The sequence below is a fragment of the Homo sapiens genome, chromosome 20 (assembly GCF_000001405.40).
Source record: "Homo sapiens chromosome 20, GRCh38.p14 Primary Assembly".
In the NCBI taxonomy this organism is placed as follows: domain Eukaryota; kingdom Metazoa; phylum Chordata; class Mammalia; order Primates; family Hominidae; genus Homo; species Homo sapiens.
This window is the reverse complement of record NC_000020.11, coordinates 44,930,314-44,941,405: the sequence shown is the minus strand read 5'-3', so window position 1 is coordinate 44,941,405 and position 11,092 is coordinate 44,930,314. Positions and strand designations below refer to the sequence as shown.

General features: G+C 49.6%; 1 protein-coding gene across 5 annotated transcripts in view; it reads right to left on the bottom strand.

The window, feature by feature from the left end:
* Positions 1 to 2,089: 2,089 nt before the first annotated feature.
* PABPC1L (poly(A) binding protein cytoplasmic 1 like) overlaps positions 2,090 to 11,092 on the bottom strand; it is a 29,257-nt gene continuing 20,254 nt past the window's right edge. Inside the window, exons 8-15 of one of the 5 annotated variants that reach the window (NM_001372179.1) lie at positions 10,680 to 10,946; positions 8,974 to 9,064; positions 8,221 to 8,349; positions 5,909 to 6,015; positions 4,676 to 4,769; positions 3,215 to 3,345; positions 2,658 to 2,732; positions 2,090 to 2,280 (exon numbers count right to left, since the gene is read on the bottom strand). In NM_001372179.1, the coding sequence (NP_001359108.1) occupies positions 2,664 to 2,732; positions 3,215 to 3,345; positions 4,676 to 4,769; positions 5,909 to 6,015; positions 8,221 to 8,349; positions 8,974 to 9,064; positions 10,680 to 10,946 (888 nt within the window). In that variant the 3' untranslated portion in view covers positions 2,090 to 2,280; positions 2,658 to 2,663. Of the gene's footprint in view, positions 2,281 to 2,657; positions 2,733 to 3,214; positions 3,346 to 4,429; positions 4,513 to 4,675; positions 4,770 to 5,907; positions 6,016 to 8,220; positions 10,947 to 11,092 lie in introns of those variants that run through there. The other 4 variants (NR_134987.2, NR_134983.2, XM_047440518.1 and 1 more) reach the window with 4 other exon arrangements.

The following is an 11,092-nucleotide window of genomic DNA, read 5'->3' as shown; positions in this document are numbered from 1 at the left end:
GTACCCCTTTTATTGCCTCATAAGCAGGCAGGACTGATGTGAGGCAGGTTTCGTGACATCCAGTCACAACTGGTTTACATCATTCTGAGCTCTAGAAGGCAAGCAACTTGATTTGCTAGTGAAGACACAGAGGGTGGGGCCGGCACAACCCGAAGAGACTACTCATTTTGTACTTCAAAAATGTCTGAAGAACACAACATAAGCTTCCTCATCCCCATCACTCATCTTTGAAATTTAACATCATTCAGTCTTTTCCAGAGATGCTTTGAGGAATAAAACTTCTGCTTCTCATAGGTTAATGTTTCTAGGAGAGGGACACACAGCTATCAATGTGACTGTCTTAATGGTCATGATGGAATTCTACCCCGACTCCCAGAGAAGGTAAAACACCGTTACGTGGGAATGACAGGGCAGAGAGCAGATCATGCAGGGTCTCCTAGGCTGTGTAAAGTAGTCCTTATTCTAATGATGGGAAGCTACTGCAGGATTTATGCAAGGATGAGACATTAGAGAGGCATTTTGAAAGAAGCCTTAGGACTGCATGGTGGAGGACAGACTGCGGGAGGGCCAGGGTAAATGCAGTTAACTGGCAGAAGGCAGTGAGCGCAGGGGTTGAGCTTAGCTCAAATTAGTGGATTTATTCCACTAGGTAGTGGTAGTGGATTTGGATCTGGTAGGAGGTCATGTTGGTGGATTTTCTCTGGAAGAGGGGAGGAGAGAAAGTGGTGTGGCAGCAGGGCTGGGGAAACCCTCTGATTTTGGCTTTTGCAACAGAATGGTGGGGCCATTTATGGAGACAGAACACTGGAAGAGAGAATCAGAGAATAAGACCGGGCACGGTGGCTCATGCCTGTAAACCCCACCCGAGGCGGGTGGATCACCTGACGTCAGGAGTTCGAGATCAGCCTGACCAATATGGTGAAACCTCATCTCTACTAAAAATACAAAAATTAGCTGGGTGTGGTGGAGTGCACCTGTAGTCCCAGCTACTCTGGAGGCTGAGGCAAAAGAACTGCTTGAACCCAGGAGGTGGAGGTTGCAGTGAGCAGAGGTCACGTCACTGCACTCCAGCCTGGGTGACAGAGCGAGACTCCGTCTCAAAAAAAAAAGAACCAAGGAATGAAAAAGAAAGAAACTTAGTTAAATCATAAGCTTGAATTTAGACATGAGTGTTACCAAGATAACCAGGAGCTGATGGCAGGTAGGCGGTGGAATGTAAGAGAGGTGACTCAGGTGCTCTTAAGAGTTGACTGGGCTGAAGAAAAAAACAGGGAGTCATCCTCGACTGGGTACAAATGGAAGATGCGCTTGTAAATTAGATAGCTCAGGAGAACATGGCATGAGAAACCGAGAGGGCCCAGGACTGAGAGTAAAGAAATGCCAGCAGTCAGGATTTGGGGAGAAGACGATGGAGCTGCACAGGGAACAGATTAAAAGCAGCCAAAGAAGTGGGCAGGACATGGTGAAGACAGGTTGGAGGTCTGTGGAGCGGAGAACAGGAAGAGTGAGTTGCTGAGAGTGGCAGAGCAGCCTTGAGGACTCGGTCAGATTTGTTGCTGGTGAATTTTTAGCAGAACCCAGTCTGCTTGGGTCATAGTAGCCACTTTCACTGGGCCGCTCCGGTACACGAGAGGGCAAAGACCTGGACTGTACGTCCCTGATGGGAGGTGAGCACTAACTGACACAAAGAAGCTTTTCGAGAGACTTCTCCATTAGGGGAGGAAAATCCTGACCTGGGAAGGTACCCTAAAACGTTCCTACAAGGGTTAATTATGTTACACAACCCCTTAGCCAGCCGAGAAGCAGCTGGGTGTTTGCCCTGCAGGGTGCCCAAGCCAGGGGCTGCATGCACATCAGATGGGGGCCCCTGTAGCTCTGGTCCATTGTGTGATATCCATGTCATCATCCACTGTACTGTTGATGGGTCAGTTCCTAACACTTCTCCTGCTCTTGTGTATATGCCCTCTGTGTACTTCAGCACTCCTTTAGGGTTTCTGTTTCTTAGAGCCTGAGCCCCACCCCAGTCATGTCTACCGTTTGCTCTGTCCCCACCTCCCTCAGACACAAAAGGGCCTCCTGGGAGGCAAGGCAGATTTTGCAGCACTTTTAATACACAAAGCAAAAGGTAATAGGCTGGATGGGTGACCAACCTTCATTCACATACAGAGCCCAAGTATAGATACAGACTAATTGGGAAATAAGTTAGAGTTTGCAGGGCCTTAGGGCTGAGAGCCAGAAACACTGTCCTTTTGGCAGCCATGGAAGCGAGGATTTCCTTTTCTGAGGACAAAAAGGTAAAAATAAGTGTTTTTAAAGTATGGCAGACACCCAGTCTTCAATAAAGAAGGTGGTTACATCCTGGCCAGGCCTTCAGGCAGGCAGAATGGAGCCAGGCAGGGCCCTGGGAAAGCCCAAACTATTCTGCATGAAGCCAGGCAGGGCAGCTGGCAAGAGGGCACCTCCTTCACCCTCCACCACCCCCCATTCCGATCACAGTTAATCATCTCCTCTGATTCTCACAACTTCCTCCAAACTCTTTGGTGCTTCAGAGAAAGCCAGGAACACGGCGCAATTCTCAGTGTTTGTGAAAGTCAGTCCCTGCCTATTTCCTTACAGCTTCTCCCGGGCTCAGCTGCTTCTGTCACCATTCCACCCACCTGGTTTCAGTGCATGTACGCCTTCGGCTGCTCCATAGCCTGGTGTGCCTGCAGCACGGCCACTGCCTCGTCTATCTGTGAGACATGAGTGGCGGGGGGGCTTAGTGCAGCTATCTTAGCAGGTCACAGAAGAGCCTTGATCTCCCCCTCGCTCACCATCCTGGATACAGGATCCTCCTCCATCCACAGGGTTTCTGTGGAACCCTCCCATCCACCACTGCTTGCAAGATCCCATGGCCCTGTCTGTCACCTTTGACACAGAGGTACATTGCTGGACAGCTGGAAAAATCTTAACCCTTACACTGAGTCACAACACACTTCCTTGTACCAAAAGACCTACCTACAGAACAACACAGAATTAGTCTACGGAAGGGCTGAAGTAGCAAACCCTTACCTAAGGCCCCTTCCACTCTTAAGATTCAGCAGGCCTTCAGGTATTAGCAAGAAGAAACACTTTATCTGGCCAAACAGCTATCCACTGGCTCCACTAGGAGAGCCCTTGTCGTTAGCTCTCCTCCTGCCCCCTCGGGCTCCCTGCTGCCCAGGCTCCTGCTTACCTTGGCATGGAGGGATTCTGGAGACTCCAGCATGAGCAACAGCTCTGAGTTGTCAATCTCCAGCAGCATGCCCGTGATCTTGCCAGCCAGCTGGGTGTGGACATCATGGATAAGGGGGTAGAGACGCTCCCCTGTGTGGAACACCTTCTAATGGCTTGTGCACGGCCTAGCTCACACCCCAGCATCCCAGGGCTCGTATGGAGTGGAGCACTGAGGACATCTGGGTTCTTCTCCCAGAACTGCTCCTTCTAGGCTATGACATTTAACACTTGATCTTCTAACATCAGGTACTTTTAATGACTGGGCCTGGTATTGGTGGTCAGCCCATCTCAGCAATGTGTCCAGGGCCCAGCCAGGACTGGGTGCCTTAAGTGGGGGCGGAAAGGATCGTCCCATGAAGAAAGTGAAAATGTTTACAGAGAACTACTAACAAAGACTTCTACTTCCATTAAGCTCATTCAAAATGTTTCTGGGTGAGGCCAGGCATGGTGGCTCACACCTGTAATCACAGTACTTTGGGAGGCTGAGGTGGGTGGATCACCTGAGATCAGGAGTTTGAAACCAGCCTGGCCAACATGGTGAAACCCCATCTCTAATAAAAATACAAAACTTAGCTGGTCATGGTGGCATGTGCCTGTAAGCCCAGCTACTCAGAAGGCTGAGGCAGGAGAATCACTTGAACCCGGGAGGTGGAGGTTGCAGTGAGCCAAAATCGTGCCACTGCACTCCAGCCGGGGCAGCAGAGCAAGACTCCATCTCAGGGAAAAAAAAAAAAATTTCGGGGTGAGGGGAAGGGGTAATGTGGCAAAACCCTAAGTAAGCTGAGGAAACAATGGGGCAGTGGTAATGGGGGCCTTCAGTAAAGGGTCTGGAGGTCTCGGGGGCCATGCAGTAAAGAACCTGCCAACCAGGAACAAGCTTGTGTTCACTTAGTGGCATTTTTATCAGGGCCTGCCATGGACACTAGGGGTGAAGATGAATTGCACAAGGAATCCAGAATCTATGGGAAACATCATGTATTTACCAAACGCACAGATGCCCCACCTGCCCGCATTGAGCACTGGAAACTGGTGAACAGCAGCTTCCTCCCGTTCAGGAGAGGTGTGAGGAACTTTAACCCCCCACCTACAAGCCATTTCTCAGCAGAAACCCAAGACCATACCCCTACTCCTCCCTTTGTCCCCTGATCTCCCCACATCTGGACTGTCTCCCAACCTCAAAGTCACAGGACAGCAGCAGTGGAAGAAAGCTCAGGACCATCCAGTCTGACCAGCGTTTTAAGACAAGATAACAGGTGCCTAGAGAATAGAGCCAGCTTGGCCACGGTCACCCAGTAGGGGGGTCGGTGACAAAGCTGGAATTTGACCTCACGTTGGACCACCAGGTGAGGTGTTTCCCAGCAGGCTAGCCAGCTCGCAGCCCTCCTCTTCTTGCTCCACAGTAGGAGAACCAGCCACTCACCAATCATCTGCTTTTGCTCATGCAGGGGCGCCGCAGCCAGCATGGACGCGGTCAGGGGCTCCTGTCCTGGGATGTGCACAGCCGGCTCCTGGACCTGCATGGTGCCGGGGACACATCCCTTAATCACCATGGACAGGCATGTCCTCAAAATACTTACCCTGGCAAGTGAGCAGAAGGCCAGGGAGGCACTGGAGGAGGGGAACAGAGGGCAAGGTCTGGATGATCAGGTGGGGTGGAGAGTCCCCAACAAGGGCAAAGTGGATTAGAAGACAAAGTCATGCCTCTAGCTTAGACGTTTCCTGTAGTGCTACGAACTTATAAAGGTCCCTGATGAACGTTGATAAAGGAAAGCCCTGTGTTACCAATAACTTTGTGCCAAATAAAGCACTTTTTATCAAGTAGATTTATGGACATGTCCCCGGCACACCTCTCACCCTTTCACATCTTGGTAATTTTAAAACATTTTGGCCAGGTGTGGTGGCTCACACCTATAATCCTAGAACTTTGGAAGGCCAAAGTGGGAGGATCGCTTGAGGCCAGGAGTTTGAGATCAGCCTTGGCAACATAATGAGACCCCTGTCACTACAAAAAAATACACAAAATTAACCAGGCATGGTGTCACATGCCTGTACTTGGAGGCTGAGGTGGGAGGATCACTTGAGCCTAGGAGTTCAAGGCTGCAGTGAGCTATGATCACACCACTGCACTCTAACCTGGGTGCTGTCAAAAAAAAGACCCTGTCCAAAAAAAAAAATAGACATTTTTGCTGTTTAAAGACTGTTCTCATTCATTTTGCAGGAAATAGTTCAAAAGAGACACATTGAAATTCTACACAGGATATGATAATGCTGAATTTTAGGCCTTTTTTAGGGGAGGGAGATAAATACACAGTCTTTGATTACAGTAAGTATTTTCTGTTTTGAAGATTAAGTACATCCCTTCAATAATCAGCATATTCTTAGAATACCTTTCCTTGGTGTTCATCACAAATACTAAGGATATCCAAATTAATTTTGGTAATAACCGAAGCAAAACAAATTGTAAATAAAACGTAATGCTGGCCCTCTTTCCCCTTCTCGCAGTAAGGGTGATCTCTTATTGATTGTACACATTAATAAACGAAACTTTACAAGCCAAGAAAAGAAAAAAAGCCAAGGCCCAACACCTTAGCTAAGGTTCTGAGCCAGGCGGCCAGGAGCCCAGGCTAAGAGCAGGCAGCTGGGCTGGCCTTACCCGATAGGTGCTATGTGCTGCTGAGGAACATTTGCACGGCAGGAGCGGCCGGCCTGGTGTACAGCATCCTACCCCACTGGGTCCTGTGGTCTGAGTACCAATGTTGGCTGCAAAACAAAACAAAACAAAACAAAAAAAGCAGAGTTCAAATAGCTGCTATCCAAAAACAAAACAAAACAAAACAACACCAAAACAGAAAATAACAAGCGTTGACAAGAATGTAAAGAAATTAGAAGACTGTGCACTGTTGGTAGGAATGTAAAATGATGTAGCCACTACAGAAAAACAGTATAGGGCTTTCTCAAACAGTTAAACAGAATTACCATATCATCCATCAATTTTACCTCTGGGTATATACCCAAAAGAATTGAAAGCAGGGTTTCAAAGAGCTATTTGTACAAACATTTTCTTTCTTTTTTTTTTTTTTCCTGAGACAGAGTCTTGCTCTGTCACCCAGGCTATAGTGCAGTGGTGTTATCTCGGCTCACTGCAACCTCCCCCTCCTGGGTTCAATCAATTCTCTTGTCTCAGCCTACCAAGTAGCTGGGATTACAAGCACATGCCACCACGTCCGGCTAATTTTTGTATTTTTAGTAGAGACAGGGTTTCACCATGTTGGTCAGGCTGGTTTCGAACTCCTGACCTCATGATCCACCTGCCTCAGCCTCCCAAAGTGCTGGGATTACAGGCGTAAGCCATCACGCCCAGCCTGCACAACCATTTTCACAGCAGCATTATTCACAATACCCAAAGGGTAGAAAAGTGTCCATTGATAGATGAATGAATAAGTAAAAATGAGGTCTATACATACAATGGAATATTATTTAGCCTTAATAAGGAGATTCTGACACACGCCACAACATAGATACATCCTGAGACATGTAAAGTAAAAAAACTAGCCACAAAAAGACAAATACTCTATGATTCTACTTACATGAGGTACCAAGCAAGAACAGTCAAATTCACAGAGACAAAGTAGAATGGCAGTTGCCAAGGGCTAGCGGGAGGAGGAACGAGAAGTTATGGTTTGATGGGTACAGAATTTCGGCTCTACAAGCTGAACAGAGTTCTGGAGAGTGGATGGTGGTGACAGTGCACAACAGTGTGAATATACTTAATGCCATTGATCTGTACACTGAAAAATAGTTAAGTGGTAAATTTTGTTATGTGTATTTTACCACAATAAAAAGGAATAAGCAGGGGTGTCAGGGCCTGGCAGCAACCTAAGGCCAGAGACTGAGTATACCTCGTTCACGCAGAACCTCCAGTGCTGAGCTTGGGGCCCCAGCACACTGTGGATGTGAGAACATTTGCAGAATGAAAGAACAGATGTGCTTGCTGTACAGCCAAAACCTACACCCTTGTTTATAGTCACTGCAATACTTACCAGGCTTTAGGCCCAGTGCTAAGCCCTTTCATGCATGATCTCATTGATCCTCAACAACAAGCCGGGCATGGTGGCTCATGCCTGTAATCCCAGCACTTTGGGAGGCCGAGGCTGGTGGATCACCTAAGGTCAGGAGTTCGAGACCAGCCTGGCCAACATGGTGAAACCCTGTCCCTACTAAAAATACAAAAATTAGCCAAGTATGGTGGCGCATGCCTGTAATCCCAGCTACTCAGGAGGCTGAGGCAGGAGAATCGCTTAGAACCCCGGAGGCAGAGGTTGCAGTGAGCCGAGATCACACCATTACTCTCCAGCCTGGGCGACAGAGCAAGACTCGATCTCAAAAAAAAAAAAAAAAAAAATTAAGGCTGGGCACAGTGGCTCATGCCTGTAATCTCAGCACTTTGGGAGGCTGAGGTGGGCGGATCACCTGAGATCAGGAGTTCAAGACCAACCTGACCAACATGGAGAAACCCCGTCTCTACTAAAAACACAAAATTACCCAGGCATGGTGGCGCATGCCTACAATCCCAGCTACTTGGGAAGCTGAGGCAGGACAATCGCTTGAACCTGGGAGGCGGAGGTTGCAGTGAGCAGAGATCATGCCATTGCACTCCAGCCTGGGCAACAAGAATGAAATTCTGCCTCAAAAAGAAAAAAAAAAACATTTAAATTCTCTACAATAAAATGGGGGTACTATTTTTGTCCCCATTTTAAAGATTAGGTGACAGATATAGTAGTCAGCAAGGGCCTCATAGTCAGTTGGTCCCAGGAACTGGAGGCCAAGCTAACTACCACGCTACAGTCTCCAAAGTCAGCTTTGCTCACCGAGAGGGCATATGGCAAGGTCACCATGGAGGCTGGTCCTGACTCCTAGTGCCAACTTTGCCCCACCCCCATTCCCCTTGGCCCTACCCACACTCACCTACTCTCTGGGTATGAGGCACCGTGCGTGGCACCTGGGTGGAGGCCTGCCTGACACTGCTGATGTGGGCCGGGGGGCGCCGAGGCACAACTGGTGGCCGGACCATTGAGGCACCTGGAGGGTAGGCAGCTTGTGGTGCAGACACCACAGAGAGAGAAAAGTTGGATGGAGTGGTGGGAATAATCAGGGTGGCACACTGTGCCTAGAAGCTTCCAGGGCCACCAAGAGAATGGGAAGGGAAACTACAACATTCACAACAGAAATAGGAGTCAATTCACTTAGACCCAGAACTCCAGAAAGGGGGAGTGTAGGAATCTACAATTTCAAAGCCAGCTCGTGTCTACCTAGAGCCCCAAACTGCATAAGCACCAGGATTGTACACCTTAGTCCCTCAAGATAGTTTCAAGTGAGCGTGCAATTCACTCTTACAGAGGAGGGCCTTTGGTCAACAATATAGCCAGAGGAATTTCACCTTCTCAGCTTTGCAAGAATTTTCAGAGTCACAAATCAGAGGCATCTTTGGTGATGACTGCTGGTGGCTAGCTGCGTGTCTTCCATTGGCTCACCACTGTGCTTGGTACTTTACACACGTCTCATTCAGGCCCATGCTCAGAAGAGGAAACTGAGGCTCAGAGAAGTGAAGTCACCCACCTTGGGAAGTGGCAGAGCCAGGTTTCATCCCTGTGTTATGACTGCCTCACGGGGCCCACACCAATAGGCCAGTCTGAGAGTGGAAGGGGCTGGGTCACTCACAGGAAGGTCTAGGTGGCTGGGATGTCCACCTGGGGGCAGGCTGGGTGGGTGTCACTGGGCCACAGCCATAGTATGCAGCCTGGGCTGGAGGCTGCATGGGAAAAGAAGACCCAGACTGAGGGGCTTGGCGGCAGGGTAGGTGAGAAGCTACACCTCCTCAGGGACACCATGGCAGGAACTCCACTGGCTCCTGCAGGGACTGGTGAGTCAAGACCCACAAGGCTGTAATGAAAGCTCCTTCCTCCCATCTCAGGATGTCCATTAGCCCTGAATCCTGCAGGGCAAAGATCTTAGATTTCAATCTTGGCTCCCTGTCAGCTAACCCAATGACCTGGATAAAAAGGGTGACATCTTACTCCAACTTGTGCAGCTTAAGCAACTGCTAAAAGGAGAGGAATGTTCTTACCGTGGTGGCCTTTAATGGGTGACATCTTTCTACTTCCTGTAAGTCCCACGAGGTCCTTTCCCAAACCATGCTCCTCAGAACATTAACATCCAGGGGAGATGTTAACAGGCATCCCACAAAAAAATGACCATCTAAGCTGGGGAAATGCTGGATAATCTGTGCCTGTTTTGGAGAGTCTCAGTAGACATTGGCATCTTAGGGTAGAATAGTGTAGATAGTAAAGAAATTTAGGGCCGATCATGGTGGCTCATGCCTGTAATCCCAGCACTTTAGGAGGTCAAGGAGGGCACATCACTTGAGGTCAGGAGTTCAAGACCAGCCTGGCCAACATGGTGAAACCCCGTCTCTACTAAAAATACAAAAAATTAGCTGAGTGTGGTGGCACGCACCTGTAATCCCAGCTACCCGGGAGGCTGAGGCACAAGAATCACTTGAACCCAGGAGGAAGAGTTTGCAGCGAGCCAAGATGGTGTCACTGCACTCCATTCTGGGCAACAGAGCAAGACTCTGTCTCCAAAAAAATAAAAATTTAATTTTTAAAAAAATGTAGGGCGGGGGACGGTGGCTTACTCCTGTAATGCCAGCACTTTGGGAGGCCAAGGCAGGAGAATTGCTTGAGCCCAGGAGTTTGAGACCAGCCTGGGCAACATGGCGAGACCCCTTCTTTAAAATAAACAAAAAAATTAGCTGGGCATGGTGGCACACACCTGTAGTCCCACCTACTCAGGAGGCTACAGTGGGAGGATCACTCAAGCCCAGGAATTCAAGGCTGCAGTGAGCCATGATCATGCCATTGCTCTCCAGCCTGGGTGACATGGAGACCCCGTGAAGGAAGGGAGGAAGGGAGGAAGGGAGGGAAGAAGGAAGGAGCCATGATCACGCCATTGCTCACCAGCCTGGGTGACATGGAGACCCCACGAAGGAAGGAAGGAAGGAAGGGAGGGAGGGAGGGAGGGAGGGAGGGAAGGGAAGGGAAGGGAAGGGAGGGAAGGGAGGGAAGGGAGGGAAGGGAAGGAAGGGAGGAAGGAAAAATGTAGGTCTTGCTTAACGCAGCATTTCCCAAACTTGCTGGATCATTAAGAGTCTTTTTCAGCACAACATTCACGAGCTTCTCTCACTGGGAAATGCCATTTGACTAACACTATCTCTCCCTTTTATAGAGAGGGAAACAAAGACTTCCTAATGAGTCCTCGGCAGAAGCAAGTTAGAAACCTCCATTTCCCTAGAACTCTAGTCTTCATGCTCTGCCTTGCTGGGGCAGGGGGGAAGGCTGCGGTGGGAGTTGCGGGCAGGCCGTCACCTGGGGCATGGCAGGCAGGAAGTAGCTGGAGGGCTGCTGAAAGGAGCCCAGGAGGGGGTTGCTCAGGGTCCGCATGGTGGAGAGGCGCTGCATGTACTGGTTGGTCAAGATGGCCTTCCGCTCCTCTTTGCGCTGGGCCAGTGCCACGTAGAGTGGCTTGGTGCCCACGATGCGCCCGTTCATCTCTGTCACGGCCTTTGTCGCCTCTTCTGGGGAGGAAAAACACACAAAGCCAAACCCCTTGCTGTGGCCACCCTCTGTCATCACCTAAAAGCAAGACAAGACAAGAGCTGCTGGGGTGGGGAAGGAAGGCTCCTGGGGCTGCGCTGCCTCCCTCCTCCCCATGGGCTAAGCCCAGCACTGGGCAGGCCCGCGAGAAAGCTGTGATGGAGGGATGTAGCGTGCACCCCTGT